Below are 25,263 nucleotides of genomic sequence, written 5' to 3' on the forward strand. Positions count from 1 at the left end.
ACACTACAAAAATTAGCTGGGCGTGGTGGCACGTGCCCGTAGTCCCAGCTACTCAGGAGGCTGAGGCAGGAGAATCGCTTGAACCAGGTAGTGAGCCGAGATTGCGCCACTGAACTCCAACCTAGGTGACAGAGCGAGACTCCACCTCAAAATATACAAAAATAAAATTAATTAATTAATTAAAGAGGTCGTTCCTTGCCCAACAAGTTGTCAACATATGCTGAAATCTAAAGTATACGATGTGGCAGGGCACGGTGGCTCACGCCTGTAATTCTAGCACTTTGGGAGGCTGAGGCAGGTGGACTGCTTGAGGCCAGGAGATCAAGACCAGCCTGGCCAACATAGCAAAACCCCATCTCTACTAAAATATTTTAAAAGGCTGGGTATGGTGGCACATGCCTGTAATCCCAGCTAGTTGGGAGGCTAAGAGGCACAAGAATTGCTTAAACCTGGGAGATGGAGGTGGCAGTGAGCCGAGATTGCCACTGCACTCCAGCCTAAGCAACAAGTGAGACTCGATTTCCAAAAAAAAAAAAAAAGTATAGAATGATAAAAATATATACTGGTATATATAACCTCTTAGTTTAAAATTTACTAGGCTTCAGGAGTAGGAGCTGGTATGAGAAGCTCCTTTAATAAGTTCTTTAAAATTAAGTATTGATTGCCACGTACCTGGAAAGAAAGTCAGTCATCAGCCCATTACATTGCCCTGAGATAGGAACACATTTCTAAGAAACTGTAAAAGCAGTTTACAGCAAACTAGGGATAAATTTTCATCCCAAATTAGTTTCTACTTAGTTTCAAGTCCAGGGTAGGCAAACAAGCCTGTGGGCCAAATGCTATCCTGCTGCCTACTTTTGTAAATAAAGTTTTATTGAAATAGAGCCCTGCCTATTCCTTTACATACACAGGGGCTTGGTCCTACAAAAACTTCAATAATTGCTACAGAAACCATACATCTACCTATTTACCATCTAGCCCTGCACAGAACAGATTTGCCAATCTCTCTCTTAAGCTGTGCAAAATTATGCTGCCTTCCCTAGCAGTATCACATCTGTCTTCACCTTTAGGAAATAAGCATACAAGGGCAAGCAAGGATGTTCATATTTAAGCACTACTGTTTATTAAAAAAAAAAAATCCACAAACCAAGAACTCATTAAATAAACTATGATACAATGGCAAGCTAAGAATCCATTAAAAGTCATGATGAGGGCCGGGCGCGGTGGCTCACGCCTGTAATCCCAGCACTTTGGGAAGCTGAGGCGGGAGGATCACCTGAGGTCAGGAGTTAGAGATCAGCCTGACCAACATGGAGAAACCCCATCTCTACTAAAAGTACAAAAAAATTAGCTGGGCGTGGTGGCGCATGCCTGTAATCCCAGATACTCGGGAGGCTGAGGCAGGAGAATCGCTTGAACCCGGGGAAACAGAGGTTGCGGTGAGCCAAGATGGCGCCACCGCACTCCAGCCTGGGCAACAAGAGCAAAACTCCATCTCAAAAAAAAAAGCCATGATGAATACCTATATTTACGGACATGGAAAGATACTTAGGATAACAATGCATTTTTTAAAAGTCACATATACATGTAACATCATCCCTTTATGAAACTACCACCTATTCATACATTGGTAGGTACTTGTAAATGAAGAAAGACGACTAAAAATACATTAACAGTTCCTTGGTGATAGCCCTTCAGGCAGTTTTCTCTCTTTGAGGTTTTCTTAATCAGATCTGCCCTATGAACACATATCCTTTTGTACAGAAGTTGTATTTAAAAGTTTTAAAACTATTAAAAATTAATATCAGTATGCAAACTTTAGATTCTACATTTTATAAAGCACTGGGTTTTCCAGAAAGCTAAGATGGTATTTTTAAGTTACTTTTGGTTTGGGTAGTGATTTTGTTGTTGCTGTTCTGTTTTTGTTTTTGTTTTTGTTTTGTCCTTTCCCTTTGTTTTAAAAACAGAAAGGCTATAAGGCTTACCAGTAACCTGCACATCTACAAACTGTCATCCCCACTATATGTGGCAACCTAAATAATGCAACAAAAAAGTCCCTTATAGAAGCATGCATGGGTTAGGAGGAGGAAGACAGGCCAACAGAATAGTCCCTTGATGGAAATGTATTAATTCAATCAGTGCCTTGCTTCTGGGTTACCATAAAAAGGTTCATAAAGTACCCAAAAGCCACATAAGATTTTAGAATTATGCTGCTCAGTGACTGATTCTCAGTGAAGAGTAAGAAAGAAGAGATTTCTCTCCACCCTCATTTTCTTCTGCAAAAGTAAGACTTCTGCAAGAGTGACACAAGTATTTTTTAAACTAGTAATTGAAAAGGCCAAGTATGTACATGATGCAAGTATAAAGAACACTGTGGCACTGTTGATAAACAGATACCAAGTGCAAACTGCATAAGACTAGCAATCTACAATAGTAACAGACAGAAGAAGAAATTGGTCTAACTAACCCTCTCTGTGCCAGAATTCACAGGCATCATTTACTTCTAAGCCCCATTTTATAAATGAAGCAACTAAGATTCAAAGAGGTTATATAACTTTTACAAAGTCACATAGGAAAGAGATCAGTTCAAATGCAGGTAAATCTAGCTAAAAAGTCTGGACTCTTCTCACTATATTCATGAAAGAGACATATTTCTAATAAAGAGCTACATAAATTCCCAATGTAAATTTATCTGGTGAGAAAACCTGTAATTTCTGGTTTATAAAGATATTACAGAATTATCATGGCAGTTAATTTGTTTTACAAGCAATTTATTTAAAATAGTGATTTTGACATTATTTTCCCAGTTAAGTTGATCCACTTTATCTTCTCCATCCTTATGTTTACACATATATGCCTGTATGATATGTATATGTCTTTAATAGATATGCTATAATGTGATATACAGCACCCAAACTTTAACCTTCAAAATGAAGTAGAGTCTGTAGACACAGACTTCAGTTAGACATAAAACTGTGACTTAGTTTTTTCAGACTCGTTCCATAGTAAAATTACTTCATTGCTATGGATGAAACAAAATTTATACCCTGAAAATTAACATTTACAATGAGGCCAAACATGGTTGCTCATGCCTATAATCCCAGCGCTTTGGGAAGCCGAGGGAGGAGGACTGCTTGAGGTCTTGATAGCAAGACCCCATATCTACAAAAAATTAGCCAGGCTTGGTGTAGCACAACTATAGTCCCAGCTATTCTGGAGGCTGAGGATCACGTGAGCCCAGGAATTGGAGGCTGCAGTGAGCTATGATCACACCACTGCACTCCATCCCAAGCAACAAAGCAACACCCTGTCTGTGCTGCGCAAGCTGGACTCAAAACTCCTCGGCTCAAGCAATCCTCCTGACTCAGCCTCCCAAGCAGCTGGGACTATAGGTGCGTGCCAGCAACCTGGCTTGTAATTTTTTTTGCGGTGGTATTTACCCCACAGTCTTTCATAAGCTTTTAAAATTATACTGATTAGCAGTCAGGTGCAGTGGCTCATGCCTGTAATCCCAGCCCTTTGGGAGGCTGATGCAGATGGATCACCTGAAGTCCAGAGTTCGAAACCAGCCTGGCTAACATGGTGAAACCCCATCCCTGCTAAAAATACAAAAGAAAAAAATTAACTGAGCGTGGTGGCACACACCTGTAATCGCGGTTATTTGGGAGGCTGAGACATGAGACTTTCTTGAACCTGAGATCGGGCCCCTGCACTCTAGCCAGACTCTGTCTCAAGAATAAATAAATAAATAATAAATAAAATTATACTGATTAGCTTTTCCTGTGAATTCCACATAATAACATCGCCAAGCACAAGATAAACAAAACCTTCAAGTCCCAGATGGGGAAACTGAAGAGTTGCACTAGGCCCCATTTTCTGGGGTGTGGAGGTATTAGGCTAAGGCTTTCTCATCAAGTATTCCAGGGATCCCTAGGAGAGGCTTAAAAGATGGGACTGTGGCTCTATCTCTTTTCATCTAGAACAACTCTGATTTTTATCAGTTCTACATACTGACTTCCTCATAAAATTTAATTTGAAAGGAAATAAAACCAGTGGTTTCTACAACTAACTTTCTTTTTTCTTTTTAAATAGCTAGCTTAAATGATATATGAAGAATGCAGCAAGGGGGAAAGCAAGGGATTTGGAATCAACTTTGCTGGATTACACATGTTAGGCCTTGATTTCTTCATCTGTAAAATGAAAATATGGGTACCTTCCATGAATGCTTTTGTAAGCATAAATAAGATATCATGACTAGCATCCCTAGCACACTATGTGTGCTAAAAGGTAGCAATAAAGTTATTAGTTAACAATTTTCATTTTTTTATGCTTACTAACAAGCCAAAGTAAACACTAAGTCAAATATTTATTTTAGATCTTAAGATGCAGTATGTTCAAACTTTGGCAGGCTAAAAGAAGTTAGATGTTAAGCAAAATAGCAATACTAAATAAAGACCATCTACAGGCAGGCGTGGTGGCTCACACCTGTAATCCCAGCACTTTGGAAGGCTGAGGGGGGCAGATCGTTTTAGGCCAGGAGTTCAAGACTAGCCTGGCCAACAAGGTGAAACCCCGTCTCTACTGAAAATACAAAAATTAGCCAGGCGTGGTGGCAGGCACCTGTAATCCAAGCTACTCAGCAGGCTGAGGCAGGAGAATCACTTGAACCCGGGAGGCGGAGGCTGCAGTGAGCCAAGATCATGCCATTGCACTCCAGCCTGGGTGACAGAACGAGACTCTCCAAAAAAAAAAAAAAAAAAAGACCAACCACAATAATATTAATGTACTTCACATGGGAACACAATTATTTTTTATGAAAACATAATCCTGGGCTAAAAAACAATAAAAAGAAGCACATTATTTTGCTCAACAAATAGTTCCTAAGTCCTTAACTACCCTTTAGGCATTCTGCAAGATTCTAAATGAAGATAAAGTATTGCCCAGATACATGTATGTTGACTGCTGCTGTTTTGTTTAATTCTACAGAGGTGTAAACACTCGAAGCTTTAGTGTGGTCTTAGTTCCATGATTATAAGTAGATTTTCACAAAACCAGGGACAGACGCTGGAGTCTAACTTGCAAAATCAAGTTTCAAGATCCACTATCAAATGCTAATGACTATAAGGCAGGAAGCTTTAATTCAAGCAAATGATTAGAAAAGATTATACAAAAGTAAACAGGATCCAACAGAATCGGCCAACTTTACTTGTAAACTACCTGTACCAAAACTGGTAACACAGAAATGATAGCATCACTCTGACATCCACAAAGATCAACCTAATGAAAATTTTGCAGAGTGGTAAAAATGTAGACTAATAAATAACGCCAGAGTTTCTTTACTTAAAAAAAAAAAAAAAAAAGACATCTGCTGATGGCCTAATATCGCCTTTCCTAGAGATAAATGAAGAACCTAAAACATTTTATTTAAACTTATTCCCCTACCATCCTACACTACTATTTCCAAAAATTCAAGCTTCCCAAGGGATAAAAACTGGAGAATAAGCCACAGAGCAGGTCAAAGGAGGATGACCTAAGGTTTATTAAGTATCTACTATGTACTGGAACTTCAAGTGTGTTGTCTCATTTCATTTTCCTGACAATCTGTAAGCTAAATGTCCTTTTCCCCATTTTAAAAGCAAAGAAAATAAAGGTCAGGGATAAAGTCACTTATCCAAAGTCACAAAGCTAACATGTAGCAGCATTAGAATCTGAAACAACACCCATTTTTTCACTATTCCACGAAGTTTCCAAAGCCAAACAAGTGTGCCTGGCACAATGGGAACAGGAAAACACTAAAAGAACAAGTGATGATATTTTTTAAGAAAATTTTACTTTTATGCGGAGAAGATTCCTAAATCAGCTGAAATTTTCTTATTAGAGAGATGTGATACTGGAGTAATTCCACTCTTCCCCTCTTGGATTATGAAAGGAAACTTTTAATAAATCAAATTGGAAAGGGCTGAACACAACTACAACATCCTTTTCACAGTTTAAAAAAAGTGCTTCTATCACTAGGAAAAGAAATATAACTTCAGATAATCTAAATGTTAATTGACAGATTTTTCTCCTAAATTTGGCAACATTAACTACTTTTTCTAGTATTTAAATAAAATAATTAACTTTAAAATTGGCTGTTAAGTAAAAGAAATAAAAATCCAGCACAGAGCAATATTCTCCGGAAAAATCACATTTTAAAATGTACAACTAAAAAACAAATCACTAAAAAAACTATCATCATGTTACTAGACCAAATAGAACAAAAAGAAATAATTATTGAAGTGGGTATTCTCTAGAATATAAGAAAAAAATATCTAATGAATTCACCTAAAATTTGAAGTGCCCAGCCCATAAACACAGCTTGATTTTCCTATGGAGCTGATCGCTTATTGGTGTAAGACTTCCTATAAATAATGTCAATATATATGTTTAAGAAGAACAAGCCATCATACAAACACCATTAGTCAGATTAAACTCAGGGGTCTATCTTGACAAAATCATTGTTTTATAAGATATATATAACATGTACTTAAAACTCTATAAATAGGGCACACGGGTCCACTCATAGTTTACTTTTCTGTGCTATATTCTTGAGTTGAATTTTTGTTACATGACTTTCTGACTGATAATGTATCAATGGAAAAGTAACTTAGCAGCTCTCCAAGTTTTTTCTTATAACTATTTGGCAGTTATTAAAATGTGCACACACTCACACACACATACAAGTATATATGTATTATTAAGGAAAAGAAAAATAACATCTGAACAGGAACATGAAAACAAAGAAAGAATTAAGGTTTGAAATTGAAGAGAAATGCAGTCCAAAAGTAAAATTCAAACTATTATTAATATATCCTTTCTTAGGTCATCTTAGGATAATACATATTTCTCCTATACATTGGGGGAAAAAATCAGACACATGAATATTTTATAAAGGCACACTGCATTATCAGAAAGCTGTTCCACACATCCACACTTTAATCTGTTATAAATTAACTTGAGTCAGTTCAAATGTTATATGTAATGCACACGATTACAACTGAAGTCAAATCATACACACCCTCAGTAACTGTAAGCCTAAAACAACTCCAACAGTGAATGAGACGGCTAGAGTTTTCCCTAAGGAAGGATAGGGGTTGGGGGCAATCTGCAAAATGGATATAACTGAGACAAATGCAAAGACTGAAAATATCCTAAAAACCTGAAGATGCTCGTGTGGTTTCACAACAAAGTCCCTTTATAAGATCCACAGCCCAAATGACTGCATCTTTCAACTGCTCCATTTCCAGAACTCCTGATTTTAAATCACACTGAAAACCTTTGGCTGCAATTGAATTAGCATGGTTGGATTTAGCCCTTCTAAATGCCAAAAAGGAAAAAAAAAAAAAAAGTACCATTCTAAAGTTTGTTTTGTTTTAAACTCGGATCTTCTGCATTCCAAAATTGTATCCCTCTGACTAATATAAACCGTTATTACAGAGAAATGGTTTTTTTTTTTAAAAAAAAAAAAAAAAGCCAGTGAAAAAGAATGAGGGAGTAGTAATGGTAACATACAGTACCATGAGCTGCAGCGGCCTCCCAGCCAGTGGTGCAAGGTTAACAGATCAGTCCTGGCCTTCGGGCAGACAGCAGAACACAGCCTTGGGGAAGGGGGGACAGGGACGGAGGCCAGGGGAGGGGGCCCGCTCTCAGGCAGTTTACACAAGAAGGCAGCTCAGCTCCTTTCTGGCGCACTCCTCCTCTCTATCTCCCAACCTCTTTGCGTGTGTCTTGTCATATTTTCTTCAGCTGTTAATTGTCCAGACTCCAAGACTTTAAACAGCCACAGTTTAGGAAAAAGCGAAACCCTTCTAAGTGACCATCACAGCAAATCAGCTTCATGCTAGTGGGTAAAATTTTCCAAGGGAAGTGTTCTTCTGATAGTTCCTGAGTCTCTAAGTCACCCCCACCCCCACCCCCACCGGCCGCCACACACACTCCCCTGGAGGGCTAAATGCACTGTGGCAATAAAACATTCATGCGACTTGGAATTTTAACACAATGCCATTTCCCTAGTTTAACCTGAAAGGAATGCACTAGTCACAACAGACTACATCATCCTGCCATTAAACCCTGCCAAGGAACCGCTTTTTTGGCCGCGCTGGGCCAGCTTTGACGGGAAAGGAGTACACAGACCCACACACTGAGCACAGAGGGGCCACCTCTGCTTCCTCAGCCTTATCCAGCAACACCCTGCTCTTGAACATGACCCCTGACCCCTTGCATTGTGACCAGCTTGTGAGGCATGTGTCACCCTGGAATTTCTGCAGAGCCACACACTGCGCAGGCCATTTGCTGCTCCCTCTCAACAGGCTCTTGGGCAGACGCCAAAGGTTCTTTCTTATTATTACTGCTACTATTGAAAGTCTTCTGTTTAAATGTAGGGATGCTTTTTCCTCGAGTTGTATGATAGTGTGGCTTGGGTTTTTTTTTCCCTCCTTTGTTTGTTTTGGACTTTTTAAAAAACAAACTTTACATTTGCATTGATAATTATGTTATTATTAATGACAAAATGATTCAGTATGGGGACTACTTATCAAAGGTGCCAGTTCTTTCACATTTAAGTGACATTCAATTTAGATTTACAAAACACCCAGAAACAATTCCTATTTCTCCAGAGAAGTTGAGAGAAAAATTCAAAGGGATTGAATCCTAAAACACCTACACTTAACCATTTTTATTTACATGCTATTATTACAAAACAAACAAGCAACAATATTAGATCAAAAAACTGGATTTACTGACTTATTGCTTGTGCAGAGAGTTCTGCCTTCCAAGCAACATAACTGACAAGCAACTATTTTAAAAAGTATGTATACCAAATGAAAAATTAAAATCATACTAAATGTTTACAAATGTTTTTATAATTTTAAAATTGTTCTCATGTAGCCCTTTATAACCAATCACAACAGTACTAATTTTTGCAAGTTAACAGAGGTCATAGTTTTGCACCCCAAAATACCCCTTTCTTCTTCTACCACTGATTCTCCTACCACTGAAGGATGTCTTCCAGATTGTCTTTTTCTGATCATTCATCTTATTAACTATCTTCATATGATGCACATTCACTTTCAATCTTGTCCAATTGTTTTATTATTCCTCTTCTCTACTGTAGTCATAGGCAATTCTAAAAAGCACAAAGTCCCCTCTTTTTGCCCTGACCTTGAGCTACAGCCAGGTGAGCTGTGATTATCCCTACAGAAGGCAGAAGGTGTTCCAGCTTTAATCTCCTGGAGTGAGGCCATGTCCCCTTTCAGTAACAAATGAAGAACATCTTACTTCATCTAAGAGAATACCCTAAAATACAAAATGATGATCTCAAAGCAGGTTAACATGCACATATAAAATAAAACCAAATTGTCTTCTTTAGAGTAATTTTTGTCTCCTTAGTAGCTGGAATTAGTCTTAAGCCCTAGTTAAAAGACTTTTTTCTTTTTCTTTCCTTTAAACAGACATTATCATGCCTTGAAAAGTCATTCTAATCCCTTCACCTTAGCCAAGCCATGCTAATTCATGAGAGGACAGCAATTAATTTTTAAAAAAAAGGAATTATACTTGACTGGGGGGAGGGGAGAATCAATCCAACTCAGAAGCAAAGGTTACCAAAACCTATGTGAAACACTTCCATTTCAAATTGCAAATGCTGAAATCAAATTGTCAGTTTAATCTATATAAAATACAGCAAGAAGGCTGGGCGCGGAGGCTCACGCCTGTAATCCCAGCACTTTGGGAGGCCGAGACGGGCGGATCACGAGGTCAGGAGATCGAGACCATCCTGGCTAACACGGTGAAACCCCGTCTCTACTAAAAATACAAAAAATTAGCCGGGCGTGATGGTGGGCGCCTGTAGTCCCAGCTAATCGGGAGGCTGAGGCAGGAGAATGGTGTGAATCCGGGAGGCGGAGCTTGCAGTGAGCTGAGATCGCGCCACTGCACTCCAGCCTGGGCAACAGAGCAAGACTCCGCCCCCCCGCCAAAAAAAAACAACAGCAATAGACATTTGATTTTTTTCAAGTAATCTGATTTATTATCAATGTGCATATTCAAATTCCAATTTTGATGTTACTAGTGTGAAGTTACTAGAGTAAAACCCAGTAAAATTGAAGGAAGAATCAAGTGATGCCGTGAGATTAAAATTACAGAGGTTAATTTCTATTTTAGTCCAAACAGATACACTTTTCTTCTTATATCAAGTTAATCAACACAGTGACACCAAAGTATCTTGGACCAATATTCAAAGGATGAACCGGGGCCTATGAAAAGAGGTCTGTGAAGTTGCACCTGCAGTACATGTAACCCTCTCCATGGTAATATATCTCCTCTGAAGACCTCTGGAACTCTGGGATACATCACTAAAAGAAGGATAAGCAATCTCATTTTAGTTCTAAACAAGTTGCCAAGTAATTATTACTATTATTATTATTTTTGAGATGGAGTCTCACTCTGTTGCCCGGGCTGGAGTGCAGTGGCACGGTTTCAGTTCACTGCAACCTCCACCTCCCAGGTTCAAGCAATTCTCCTGCCTCAGCCTCCTGAGTAGCTGGGACTACAAGCATGTGCTACCACACCCGGCTAATTTTTACATTTTTAGGAGAGACACGGTTTCACTATGTTGGCCAGGCTAGTCTGGAATCCCTGACCTCAGGTGCTCTGCCCACCTTAGCCTCCCAAAGTGCTAGGATTACAGGTGTGAGCCACCACGCCGGGCCAAAGTAATTTTATAATCTAAGTATTCACTACTATGGTATAGCGATGCATCACATATTAGGAAATCAGAGCATGCTACAAATACCACGATGAAAACTATTTTCTATGAAATTGTACCAGTACAAATAAGTGGAATCAGAACAATACAGAACCTGCTGAAGAAAAAATGTCGTATCAGTAAGTTCACTGAAATTCAAAAAGGTGCCCAGAGTTTTGTAGAAATGTTAATTTATTTTGGTGGGTACAATGTGAGTAGATCAAATCTGTGATAACCAGCCGTGATTTCCATTTTCCTTGAGCCAAAAGAAAACTTTACTGTGTTAAATGGCATTTAGAAATAAGAGTTTTAAAGTTCTGTAAGCTACGTTTTAATTTCTAGAAAGCAAAATAGGTGAAAGTTTTCTCATGAACTTCTATTAAAAACAGGACATGCATGTGCAAACAGGCATACGTTAATTTATTCTGCTCTGCAGGGATTCATTTGGAGTCGAGAGATTGGCTAAATCAACCCCCTCCTCAACACACACATACAACATGCACATGCAAGCAAAGGCAGTTAACAGACACCAACCCTGAGTGAGGGAAAACTCACTCAGAGATGAGAAAGGACAAGATGTGTATGGACAAAAGAGAGAAGGAAGGAAAAGCAAAGAGATGGTGTGGGAGGAAAACCAGATTGAGACAAAAGCAAGCCACAGGAAGGGCGGGGTGAGAGAGAAAAAGAAATAAGAATGAGATGGGGAGGAGCAAAATGGAAAAAAGCAGAGAAGGAGTCAGTAGGGAAAGGGAGAGAAAAAGAAAAGGAAGACCGAAGGAAAAAAGGGATTGCTGGCAGAGAGGAGGAGCTGGAGCCCCACAACAAAACAGTGGATCAGGCAGCTGGCCTGAGATGCTGATTCAGCGCTTTAACAAATCAATGCCACTAGAAAAGCACAATGTGAGCCCTCACTGGGTAGATGTCAGGGGACTCAGAAAATGCATTCTCAAGTATTTCACATTAAGAGGGAATAATGTGTTAATTTATAACGCTTCACCCTATACACTTGGATTATCTATCTGTGTCAGCGATTTGACTTCTTAAATTTATCAAAAACGCACGCAAAGGGAGGCAGCTTCGGCTTCACCGCTGGGAAATGGAGGTTTAGGGAAAGCCTGTCAGCCAGTCCTAGGTAGTTCTGCTGTTCTTTCCGCTTTCCTATTTGGGCTGAAGTGTTGGTGGGGGTGGCAGCAAGGAGTGAGCAAGCCACTGAAGGGGAGATGAAGTGGGGAGGGGAACTCCTGGTCCAGTTACTAAAGCAACCAAAGAAAAGGCTTTCTCGGCCTGTGGTTGATTGCATTAGGTACCATCCGTCAAAAGTGACACAGAAGAGAAGGAATAACTTGAATCAGCAACCCACGCTGCCATCGTCAGAATTTACTTTATGGAAACTTACTTAAGTCTCTCAGCACACCCAGTGGAAGAGAGCCTGCTGACAACTGGATTTTAATTAAACAGTACACTTGCAATGCCACCACAGTTCCACAGAGCTTATCAAAATAGGAAGGGAAGAGAGAGTTAAGCGAATTTTGTTTGGTTAGTTTTGAGACATGGAGGAGAGATGTTAAAGAACTCAGATGCCAGCCCAGCATTCAGGAGCCTCATTAGAGGGACTATTTCTTTCTCAAGAAAAACCTATTTTATTAAACATCAAATTCTTGGAATTGTTTCCTAATTATTCCTTAATAAAATTTAGTTAACTTTTAATATAATGATTGCACAGTTTCTAACCTGTGGGAGAGACAGGGAAAGACTACGTTAGTAAGTTTTGTTGCCAAAATTAAAGTATGATCAGACTTAAATTTTCAAAGTTTAAGCATTGTCAACATACAAAGGCAAGTGTGTTAAAATTTTGGAATAAATAGAAGAGAGTAGGTTTCAAGAAAGTGTTTTAATTAAGATTATGTCTTCAAAGATATGAAGGGGAAAAGTGGTTATAGGTATAAAGGAAAAACAAGGCCCAATCACGAATAACTTCTAAGATTGCCCAGACTACACACAGTATTCTAAACTGGAGGCATTCTTATTTGCTACATGTACAACTGCAACAGAAACAGACATTCTCTTATTTTCAAGACATTCATATGTAAATGAATGCTGATGAATGGAAATGAGATGCTAAACATGATGGGCAACGTTCAACATTTAAAAAAAAAAAAAGTTACTTCACTTGCTGAAGCTTGAATCTCTTCCCCTCCTACACCTGGGCACAAAAAGAAATGAATGACAATGATGGACCTTCCACCAGTTTCTATTGGTTAAACAACACCTTACAGAGATACTCAAGACAGAAAACAAACATTCTTTCAGTCTTATGCTTTGCATCTTTCCTATGACATGTATCACACAGAGTCCATTGAAAATAAATATTAGAGATTGAAATTATAAGTAAATAGCCAGAAATATTACAGTGGCATTGAGCCAAAGGGCTAAAATATCCAAAACAGTGTAATTATTTAATGAATGTTTTCTTTCTTTCAAATGAGATAATTAATAAGGAATTTCCTGGTTCATGACCACAGAGTACACTATTTTCCCTTTTCATAAAATCTTAGGAGACCGAACATATATTCTGGGCAGTGTGTTTGCAGTGGGAATTATATATATGCATGTATGCTTTTCAAGGGTCTCTATTTATGCCCTCAGAGTAGGATTTGTTCTATCCCCAGTTTTTGCATGAATTACCATTCCTGTCTGTCCCATCCAAGCCACCCCCACATAAACTATCTATTCTTATCATTATGGTACCATTAATCCCATTCTCCCCTCCCCCTCCCAACTCACCTAAGGGGTTAAAAGACTTCAGTACATTTGTGACTTGTCAGTGACATATAATACCCAGGTCCTTCATGCAATCAACTTTTACTTGACATGTATTTGCTCATCACAGGACCCACATTACTACTGGGAAAATGAAGAAAAACCTAAATTAACACTTGACATTCAATATGGTCAAGTCCTTAATTGGCTGGGCTTCCTGAGAAAGCAATTTTCTATTCCCCAAACTGTTCGCGTGTCATGTGTAGAGTGCAGCTCTTGGCCATCACTGCTGTCCCTCGCTCCCTCTAATGAGAGCAGATGAATTAGTGCTACGTGACACGATTTGAGCAGGGCTTCCTCCTCCTCCCCTCCCCCCAGTCTTTCTCCTATACCAGTGACAGCTGTGTGGCAAGGGGAAGAAAGAAAGAGAAACGCAAGAGCAAAGAATCCTGTAAAGGATGATCATTTTTTTAAATGAACCTTAAATGTCTCGTTGAAACTACAGAACAACAGGGTCACTTAATTGTGGAGGTGGGGAAGGGGGGGCGGTTGTTACAAAGATCAGGGGAATTATCTGGCTGTGGTTGATTTGGGTTGTATTAACTTCCAGCACGTTTCTTCCATTCCTCGCTAGTTGCAGTATTAGACTGCACTGCTCTAATTAAAACGGAGTTTACATCCACTTAAAAAGTTTTTGAAAGGTCTGGAGAATGGGTCAACTAGGAAAAAAAGAACAGCATGAAGTGATTATTGTTCGAAGATAAACATACCTCTAAACTAGAGAAAGTCCTTTCAACAATCACTTAGGTCAGGAAGAACCTACAGCACAAAACTATAGTGATACTTTGTTTTCAAATATTATTCCATGTCTGAGCTTAATGCAAACTATTCTTTCCTAACTCATTTTGTTTTGTTTCCATTGATTGTTGAATTACTGAAATGAAAAATTACTTGATCACTGATTTCATTCTATTATTCTGGAGAGAAGGAATATATTCTACTTTAAATGTGCTTGTCTCACTCAGTAAGAAACAATGAATACATGCATGAAAGGAAGGCAGGACAGAGTCTGCTTTATTCAAAAATACTAAAAGGCAAATTAAAGGTATTTCTCTGAGTCTTCACTTACTCGTTTTGAGACCAAAGAAGTAGTAATTTTAAATCCCTAATCGCTCACCCAATCTGATTAGGACAAAACAGAACTACAGGATAGAAGAGCATGTGGCAAATCATTTAGGAAAGTAATTAGTACAAAATACATGGATAAGTGAAAATAATTAGTGAAAGTCACAAATACCTTAGCACTTTGGATCATTACTCAGTTTTATTTAGGTGAGAACCAAGACAAAAATGTTACCTGTGTACAAAAAATTATATCAAGACTGCACTGTGGTGTCACAAAATCAGTTTACACACGCAAAACACAAAACTATGTCAAGTATAGCTCCCCCGCTTCAAGTAGCATGATCATTAATTGTTCTTCTATAATTCTGAATATAATTTAAGCAGTAATAAATACTGAATATAATTTCAGTAAGTAAATTGTGAGTAGATTTAAAGATATAAAAAGATGGTGACATCCACTTTTACACTATGTGTAAAGTTATAACCTAAAGCCAAAAATGCTATTTCCACATTTTTATATTTGTGGGAAATAATGGGAATGGAAATGAAGCTTTATAAGATTTTTTCCAAAATAAAGCAATTCATAACATCTTAGAGTATTATTGCACTAACAGAAGACAAAATGTAAATAAAACTGTTTTTTAACACCTTGAATTTTCAAACTTGTTGGAACATGATTAGTTTCAGACAACTGAAACACTAAAAGATGAGTATAATTTTAGAAGTATTTTCGTGGAAGCAAAACAACACAACGGACACACACACTGCACAGATTATCTCTTCTGAGGCCAAAGCACTGATATTTCACTATCATTAAGATCCCTTTTGAAAATACACTTGAGACAGCTTGTAAATGGGCATTTTATCAGGTGTTTAAAAGAAATAAATAGATAATTTGGTATTCTGGAAAAGTAGCTCAGTCTAATACATCCAGTTAACTGCTACAGTAGCATTATCATCACTGAGCAACAAAGGGCAGTGTATTCTGCCAATAGCTTTAGGGTGACCTTTGCAATGCTGACTAGTCCGTCAAATTCCATCTCTGAGATGCAAGGCATAGACAGGGATGGTTTATTAACTGAGGTAGGAACTAAAGACTAGGAGGCTCCAAAAGGGTAGGCGTTTCACATTCAGGAAATGGGGAATTCCTTTCCCTAAGAAGAGAAGCAGTGTACCGTAAGATCAGGCTGAGCAGGCCCATCGTCCTCCCCATGGAGCATTCCATGGTGGGAAATTGTCATGTACTAGGACAGCATTAGCAATTTTACAGTTTTACATGTTCCTTTTCTCCCCAGCTACACTTTTTTTTAAGGACTGCAATGGAAACCCAAATGGAAATGGGTAAAATGGGATCAATGTCTTGAGCCCTAGGAATAAAGCTGCAAAGGGATACTTACATAGTCATAGACCTTTCAACAAATTGTGACCAATACTACTTTTATTTGGAGGTAGTTTCCAACCATCACCAACAGGATAAATCTACAGAACTCAAGGGGGCAGAAACAACGGGTAAGAAAAATGACTGTACTGAACTGGGAAATTTTTCAAGGATAACCTGTAGAAAACCAGCCTAGGAAAAGGCACTTTTTTTTTTTTTTTTTTTTTTTAAGAAAGTTAACTGTGACTATGGCAAAGTGACATGCTTAAACTTGATATTCTCTTAGGGATGTGCAGGCTTTGAAGCTCATAATAAACTTGAAATGGCTCTGTGGAATGTTAAGGCTTAATGTAGATGGTTGGTGCCACTGTCATGCCTATACAAAAGTATGTCAACTTAGAAATAACTGCACTAACAGCTCCAGGGTATTTAGAATGGAAGGCTTTCCCCCGCCCTTTTTTTTTATTAAGAATTTTACTTTGAACCATAAGAAGCTGCATTAAGTTTCCAACCTAGTTAGTGCAGCTAAAATTAAAATACTTACTCAATTTTGGCTGGGCGTGGTGCCCTCATGCTTCTAATCCCAGCACTTTGGGAGGCTGAGGTGGGCAGATCGCTTGAGCTCAGGAGTTCAAGCCCAGCCTGGGCAATATGGCAAAACCCTATCTCTACAAAAAATACAAAAATCACCTAGGCATGGTGGCGTGTATCTATATTCCAGGTACTCCAGAGACTGAGGTAAGAGGACTGCTTGCGCCTGGGCGGGAGAGGTGGATGCTGGCCATGAGCCCAGATCTCACCACTGTGCTCCAGCCTGGGCCACAGAACCACACCTTGTCTCCCCTCAACCACCAAAATGATACTAATTTCGGTTTACTGTAGAAAGGCAAAATGTCTGCCACCCACTTCGTCTGTGTTACCTTTACATTACACCATTCTCAAAAAGTTTAAACACGGCAGAGGAGAGAAATGAATGCTTTGAAATAGCCTAGCATATGTAACAATAAAACTATCTAGCAAACACAAAGCACAAATGTTATTTTATAAAAATTAACAGCATCTAAAGGGGTATATTCTTTTATCCTCCATTATTCGCTACCTCTTTTACTTCAGTGCTTCCCTCCCCTTATATTAAAGATACTTTATCTAATTCCCAGTTGAAAGGTTTCTGAAAGCGTTAAGTCACAGCTGTGTTGATGCTGAACTTCTTGAACATGGCATACCAGCATCATTCTGACACATTTATAGATGTTTCCTTACAAGCTGCACCAGCACTTGATTTGAAATATCTGACTTACTCTAACACAAACTGTTAATCTCTGGTCTTTTCTCCAGTTGAGTTCTTCTCTGAAGTTTTGGAAGCAAACCAACAACTTGTTATGTTTAAAACACAAATGGCTCCCTTCTGATTGGTTTCTGACACTGTTCAGTGATGCTGTTAAACAAGACCCTAGAAAGAGCCTAGATATACCTAGGCCCCATTTGCAGATCATTTTAACAGGATGTTCTTGTTTCCTTTTCCCACGAAAATCAATAACAGGATGACCTTCAATTTGAAATTCAAACCAATTAATTACCTGTTCTGTTGAAAATGCTGATAACTGATTTGCCTGGAGAATTTCAATTATGAATAGATAATTTCTTTTAAAGAGACCCTTCAAAAAATATAGACAGGCATTTTAAACCTCATCTTATACAATATAAATAATGTTTTCTTGAAGCAGGTATAAAATATTGGCCTTGCATGAATTAGTAGGGGGAAGTTTTCCCCCTTGTGGTCCATCTCCTCCTTGTGACATCATAATCAATTGCTTGGTAAATTATAGCAATCCCACAAAGATTCAGGGCCAAGAATCTACCGCTTTAAGGTGAGACGAAAAGCTTTTTATAGTTGAATTCGGCTTTTCATCTACATCAATTACTTACACAAATCATGGGATTATTTTCAGAATTCAGAAATCTTTTATTATTTTAAAATCCTTATGCTTCTACCTTTATTTAAATTATTTGACTATTTTTTTGTTTTGCCCACACAGGTGATTTTTCTTTAAATGTGGGTCATAAGGAGAAAAGCTATACATCAAAACTATCAGCACCAGAAATATATTTACTAAACTTTTTTTCTAATCACAGGGGAAAAAATGAAGAATTTGGTTGATCCCAGTGGGGAATTCCCAAGATGAATGATCACATGCAATGAAACTATTATCTTCATCCATTAAAATATTATCTAAAACAGAGGTTTCTATCTGGCAGCCAGAGGGCTGAATGTAGCCTGCAGATGAGTTTTGTTTAGACCACACAGTTTTTAAAATATTTGAATAGGTTGCCAAGATTTCAAAATCAGGAGATTTCACATAAAAATCTGGATTTTTGGCTCATCATTATAAAGCAGCAGCAGTGGATCTGGCAAACTGGGCGTGCATTCCCACCTGGTAACAATCGGCTGGAACCAAGGAGCAGCTACCTCACTGTGGTTGAGACATGAGCTTTCTGGTCCACCACAGTTCCCACTAGACTCACTCTACTTGTTTTAATTTTTGTTACCTCCACATGGCCCTTTTAGACAACTACTACTCCTTAAAATGTCATACTACTCTAGAGTTTCTGGGAAAAAAAGAAGAGGGTGTTCTCAGAACAGAGATTTAAAAATACATATTTCACAAGTTTACAGAATATAAGACAATGGGAAGCAAGTTTCATTTCAATGAAACATTCGTGCAAACCAAAGGAAACTCATTTTCATAATTAAATGTTTTTTAAAATAGTAAATCCAGAACTGATGACCCAGCCTTACAGAGTGGTTCAACAATCTTTACATTGGTTTTCAATCAGCCACCTATTTCTCTGAAGCCCAAAATAGATGCTCATGTCAAAGCATTACTCAGATTTTGTTCCTTCACATGTTAACACTTCCACACTTCCTTTCTAGAGCTATCATGTACTTAAGTGAAAATGTACTGTAATATGAAAATAGGATATGTCTTCAAGGTATATTTTAAAAGTCAACATTTAAGATGCATGACTATTATCACAGCAAATATTCATCTTTACTGACTCCACATGTATGCCACCATCTGACATTTATACTTACATTAAATAGACATTATTATGGGTTCAAATGACCCAAAAAGTCATGGCATATTTCTTTACAAATGATTATTACCTAAAAGCAGATGTCTATGACACAGTCACCATGCACTTCTTTATATCTACTTTTTTTTTACATGAAAGCAATTGCAAGGAGAATATCTTTTACATTTCATTATTCCCAATCAATCACAACGACACAGCATTTCTACCTATTAATGGATTTTAAAAACCAATTAAAAATACCCTATTTAGCAGAGGGAAGCAACGGCCTTCTCATTTCATCCAACTATATTAAAAACAGGCTATCTCTGACGTATTACTACAGTACAGAAATGCTTACGTATCATGCAAACTGTAGTACGTAGGCTATGACCAGTCATATGCCAACTAATTTGGATCAACTATACTATAGTGTTTTTACATTATGTTTCATCATTGCACCACATGCTTGAAAGATTAGTTTTTAAGGTGTTTCCTTCCGAAAGGAAGCATTTTTCTTCCATTTTTACCTAAAGAATGTAATCCCTGAACATATGCCAAATTTACTTCACAATCGGACTTTAATCCCCAAATTCTCTTGATTCTTAGCAACTTGCACAACTTTAAGTAAACAGTTCACAAAATCATAATGATCATACTGTAGCATTCCTTAACTCCTAGGTGAATAGAAAAAAAGAAAATACCGTAAACATGAACTCCATAAAGGCAGTCTTAGGTAGGCCTGAATGACAGTGTATTTCTTATGGGAAACATTTTTCCTTAATTTCCATTATGATTGAAATGTGAGCAATTAGAAATAGACACCTGGAACTCAGTTGTTAATTTATCTCTCCGCACCCCTTTCACACTTTTCTTCAAACCATTTCTTACGATGCATCTGAAAGATATGATCTTATAGGATGACCTGCATATAAAGGGCACTGAACCAGTGTTCACATTACTTTCTTTAAAATGCCTTGTTGTAATCCAAGACTAAACTTACTTTCTTTCTTTTTTAAGTATATAGCTTTAGGGAAAAAAAATGGAAATTTCTCAACTAATTACTGAGTAAAATCATTTAAAAAACAAAAATTAAAACAAACATTCTAAGGAAAGTATATACTTCATTACATTCATGTTAATTTGCCTTTTATACCATCTTAGAAAGAGAATTTTATGAAATACACAATTCCCTACCATGATGTGATGACCAAAGCTTTAAGCTGGTCTCCTCAGGTTCACATCATGGCAGCTGACTGCAAATATGTAAAGCAGTTCTGGAAGACTCACAATTCACAAATTTTTGTTTCTACTTAATTGTTTTAAGATGAAAAATAAAGTGTGAGATAATGGATGTTTTAGTTAATCTGTGTTTTATGGAGAGAAAAGTATTACTGTCACTTAACTCCTTCTATTAATCACTCTATTAAGCCTACTTTGAGAAAAGAGTATCTCAAAGTAGGCTTATATTGAAGCTCATTTTCGGCATTCTGCAGTTGTAAAAAAAATTTAAAAGATCAAAAGTACAGGACTGCTGGCACATACAGGAACAGTGATTATCAGAATACTCAGAAGGTAAGCAGCAGTTGGTTTATTAAGAAATTATTTAAAATAACTGTTTACACAAGTTAAAACAACCAACTTCTCACTTTTACTAAAAGGATGTTTTCAATATAATGAACACCCAAGCTTTTCTGGTCATGAGAAAACCTGGAATATATTATACACGCATGAATGTGGCCCGGGATGCAGGATATGGGATGTGCTTCCTATCAACAGATTAACACTTCATTTTCATTACTCTAATCTCACCACAGGCTGTGAACACTCTCTTTTTCTTATTTGAACAACAATGGTACATGAAAAACCAGGCTGACAGGCAGGCAGGGTTCATTAAGTGCACAAGGCCCTTATTCCCATAACACATCTCACCTGTATGAGGCCAGCTTTCCGGCTGCCCGGCTGGCTACTGAAACAAGCTCTCCCAGATGTTGGAGTTTGAATTCTTCTTATCCCTTCCTACTTACATTATAATAGATGACAAAAATAAAGTAAAAATGAAAAAACTCCTCTCCACAATGAAGAGTATTTAGTCATGATAGGACTGGTAACATATTTTAAGCTCCATTCAGTCCCATGATTACTTTCCAAAGTTGTCCAAGAGAACAAACAAAAGTTGCTAGAAAGGGAAATAATGAGACATCTGAAATTTGAGTCAGAGAGACTCATCCTGGTGTCTCTATCCTAGCGCAATTCTAATTTATCTGAAGTAAGCTGTAGTCTCCCACTTGCTGAAAATGGCAGTTCACAAAATAAGAAACCATCATGCTATTTTCCAATGAATGACACTGAGTTTCACCAAAAAGCTATAGTCAAGAAAGGAAAAAGGCTATATAGATAGCATAGTATAAGGAATAATTACAACAAGATTCTTAGGATGGAGAATGCCTCTTTGGGGAAAGCCACCCACAGGCTCACTGCCTCTGAGGAAGTCATTAGCAAATCCTCAACATACATAGAATTAAGTCACCTAATTGTCACCAGCCAACCAATGGAGCAGGCATACACTTTCTGCATGTCTACGCATTACATATAAATGCACTACCATAATGTGGCAATATGGGATTTTTAGTACTTTCAAGACAGTAAGTCCTTCCACAAAGTTTACAGCCAGACTTTGGTTTTGGTTCTTTCTGGTACTCTAATATTTATACCTAAAAAAGAAAGAATAAAAGAAAAGCAATATTAAACAGCAGCTAACTCGCTGACTCCAAGTTAGGTTCTGGCATGAGGTCAACAATGAGAATGTTTGCAGGCATTCTCACTCAGGGACACTCTCATGAATATGCTCAGTGTATAATTACTCCCCATATCTTGCCGGTGACATCCCAGCCATGTCCACTGACCTCCAGCACTGGCAGAGGGCGCAGTAGTGGGCAGCTTTCTTAATCTATGCCTGATCAGGTGTCCCAAATAGCCACCCTAATGATTTAAATCAATGAAATTCTTCTTGATTTAAATGTTAATGGAAAGGGAAAAAAATTATTAAAATCCTCTAATGGAGATTCTCATTTTAATATTAGTTTTGTTATTATTTTAAGCCAGCTGAAAGCAATTACTTGTTGTCATGTAAAACGTTCACTAACCTGTTATCTTCCTTTTCAGACACCCAGTTCAGGTACTCCGATCATAAAATGTGAGTTCTGAAGAACTGTCTAGAGAACCAATAGCCACTAAAAGACACCTTAATAAAGTTGAAAAATTCATGACAGTCTCAAAAAAGCACAGCAGGTAACAATATTGAAAGCTATGTCTTTCCCATACAGAATATGTTTCAGTCTTGTCAATTTTAACAATCTGTATGCCTTGTGAGACAATGGGTTAAAATTTATTAAATACAAAACAAGAGTGAATCCTCCTCATGTGTTATGTATACTGCATGCTTTAAATTTTAATTTCATAATACCATCCATTAATACTGGTCCTACCATCATTTCAAGTCCTTTTTTAAATGTTTCTGTTAACTCTTACTAGCTGCAGTTTGTCTGAAAGAATCATCCCTTCAACCTACTGCACTGCCCTTGGTATCTTTTCCTTCTTGTAGGGAAATAAGCTCGTGTAGAAGTCTAACTGCACAAAATAATAAGTCCAAGAATTAGGTTTTTAAAAGAAGAAAAAAGGAAAGCAAAATCTCTCTTCAACTAAGTACTTTCTTATACAGGCTAAGGATCAAATTGAGCTGCCTTTCAGCACCTCTGAATGATAAGCCAGGGCCCCTGGTTACACGTTTTTATCATGCCCTTACTCAAAGAACCCTTCTACAGCAACACTCGAGACAGTCCTGTCAGCACTCACAGAGGACCACACCTGAGGGTGGCACCTCTCTCTCATGCCTCTGCCAGAATGATGTATTGGCAAAAGGGTATTTATTCAATTACTGCTACGTTTCAGGTGCATTTCAATTCTCTTCTATTAAGGCAAAAAGGGCCAGTGAAAGTAAGGAGGAATTCAGAATGAGAGAGATGAGAAGAAAAGAGAATAAAGTGAGAAAGAAATTACCTCTATGAGAAAGGAAATAGGAACAGAATAACCTTGTATTTAGGTCATTAAGTAAATTTCTGCCAACCAAATATGAATGAGATTTATAAATCAACACCACTCAATGACACATAAACCCTAAAGACAGTAGCGAAATAACATTACAGTTCAAAAGCATTGAGTAAATAAGACGTCAGATATGCTCAAGAGAATCAGTTGTTTCAATGAGTAACTTCCTACTGTTCAAGATTATTTTCATTTTCTTTACAGAGAGAAATGAAAAACTGATGGGCTTAATTAAAGAAAAACAAAAGGATATTATTTTGTTGTTAAAGGATCAATTCTTTTTTTTAATCGGAATGATGATTAATAAGTTGAGAATTTGGTTCCTAAACTAGCCAATTTGAGTAATGTGTTGTTTTTCCACAAGCATTTCCATTAAAGAAAGCTCTATGAATGAAGAAAACATACAGCGATTCCTCTCTTCTCCTGATCTCTGCACTTCGTGGCATGAAATGCTACATACAGCATTTGAACAGAATGACACTGCACACTGTCTCCACCCAAATGAACTCCAGTCATAAATTTTTCACCTGAGGGTTTGAATGTACACTGTGAAATCTGCGAGGCTTCCTACAGGGAACGCACAAATTAAAAAATAATCAATACTTTTATTTTTCCTATTCGTTAAACTTTCTTTAAACCTGGGGAGAAAGATGGCAGTACAGGTCAGGCTCAATGAGGAGGAAATGTGGGGACCCTGGATGTCATGGCCCCAGACATCATTTCTGGGATGCCATCTGCACATTTTAAAACTTCTTAGACCTTGAGCTGCTTAGCAGATTTTTTTCATCTTATTTTTCCTGCATCTTTACCAGTTTTTCTTATAGGAAAACATTCCCTCTATTACCCAATGTTTTGTTTCTATGTGAGGATATAAAGGCTGTTGTTCCTGAATTATGTCTCTTTTCCTTTGTTTCTCTAAAGCTTAAAAATAGATGTCAGTTTCTTGAAAGGGTCTTTGACTCCCTTTCTCCTGTCTCCAGGGTCCTTACAGTAGATGAAGATCGCCCAGCAAAATGTAGAAGCCAGCTGCTTTTCTGGAAATAAAAAATGGCATCAGCTTTGGCAGACAGTAGTGAGATCCATCACTTCCTAGGACCCCCAAACAATCTTCTGACCAAGGTCTGGAGAAGGGTGGTCACTGAGCAGCACCATAAACAGACCACAAAAGCGTACCACCAAAGGTACAAGAGGATTTTCAAATGGCGAATTATTTCTACACGCATAACAAACCAGGCTCCAAACCTACCGTGAAAGGAAATCTTGGAACATTATATTCCATGTTCTTTGGACAATAACAAGCAGGGAATCCCACAGAAAATTTCTCTCACTGAAAAAGTCAACCTACCCGATTCACTCTGTTTTCTCTACAACCACAAAGTTCTCTGACAGCACTCTGGGGGGAAAAAGGAGTTAATTCCTAGATCGATTCAAACACTAAGGTTCAAATTATAGACACAAGCTAAAAACAAATTCCAATTTCTTTTCCTCTTTCCTTTTGATATATGTGCTAATCTAGAGTGCCAAGTTCAGAAAATACCTCTTGGGCTATACAGAATCATTAGCTATTCACGTTTACAAGGAAAATCCTCTCAAAAGCTTTGCAGACAGATGACGGCAGATGCCCAATGCAACTTTTTTTAAGTGAGTGTGTGTAATGCATACAAGGTAGAGAGAGGGAGGCACCAGAATTTGTGTTTTTCATTCAAGTGGATGACGCCAGCTCACTATCTGTAACGGACTGTTCCTTTGGAATCAGCTCCCTGTGTCACAACGACCTGGCAAACTTGAATGCTTTCACTATCACTGGAGTCCTTGCAATCCTGCCTTGGTTGTGACCCATTCACTTCTGCCCCAACTTCTCAGAGATGCCTTACTCAGCATCTAATTAGTCAGGGAGGATTTGCCGTGGCTCTTAACCCTGACATGGGAGTGGGAGGATGTGCTGCTGTGGCAGCCCAAATCTGTCCTGTCACTGCATTAATCAGATTTCCATAAAGCTATGCATGAATAATTGGATTTATCAGTGAATGTGAATATACACTCA

General features: G+C 38.0%; 1 protein-coding gene across 33 annotated transcripts in view, besides 3 other annotated features; it reads right to left on the bottom strand.

The window, feature by feature from the left end:
- The window catches only part of BNC2 (basonuclin zinc finger protein 2), a 461,168-nt gene that overhangs the window by 287,694 nt on the left and 148,211 nt on the right, over window positions 1–25,263 (bottom strand). For 5 of the 33 annotated variants that reach the window (XM_047423505.1, XM_047423517.1, XM_047423500.1 and 2 more), the window contains exon 1: window positions 7,557–7,884. The exons of the other annotated variants lie outside the window; for them this stretch is intronic. In XM_047423505.1, coding sequence (XP_047279461.1) covers window positions 7,557–7,559 — 3 coding nt within the window. In that variant the 5' untranslated portion in view covers window positions 7,560–7,884. Of the gene's footprint in view, window positions 1–7,556; window positions 7,885–25,263 lie in introns of those variants that run through there. 33 annotated transcript variants of the gene reach the window in all.
- Window positions 7,204–7,958: an enhancer, noted in NCBI's record as "H3K27ac-H3K4me1 hESC enhancer chr9:16704398-16705152 (GRCh37/hg19 assembly coordinates)". NCBI's record gives its function as "activates a minimal SCP1, AML or CMV promoter by ChIP-STARR-seq in primed H9 embryonic stem cells {active_cell/tissue: H9 hESC(primed)}" and the evidence as "EXISTENCE:reporter gene assay evidence [ECO:0000049][PMID:30033119]".
- Window positions 9,366–9,866: an enhancer, noted in NCBI's record as "H3K4me1 hESC enhancer chr9:16706560-16707060 (GRCh37/hg19 assembly coordinates)". NCBI's record gives its function as "activates a minimal SCP1, AML or CMV promoter by ChIP-STARR-seq in primed H9 embryonic stem cells {active_cell/tissue: H9 hESC(primed)}" and the evidence as "EXISTENCE:reporter gene assay evidence [ECO:0000049][PMID:30033119]".
- Window positions 13,342–13,990: an enhancer, noted in NCBI's record as "VISTA enhancer hs307". NCBI's record gives its function as "enhancer in: hindbrain (rhombencephalon)[13/15]" and the evidence as "EXISTENCE:transgenic organism evidence [ECO:0001131][PMID:17130149]".

Source organism: Homo sapiens, chromosome 9 (assembly GCF_000001405.40).
Source record: "Homo sapiens chromosome 9, GRCh38.p14 Primary Assembly".
NCBI lineage: Eukaryota > Metazoa > Chordata > Mammalia > Primates > Hominidae > Homo > Homo sapiens.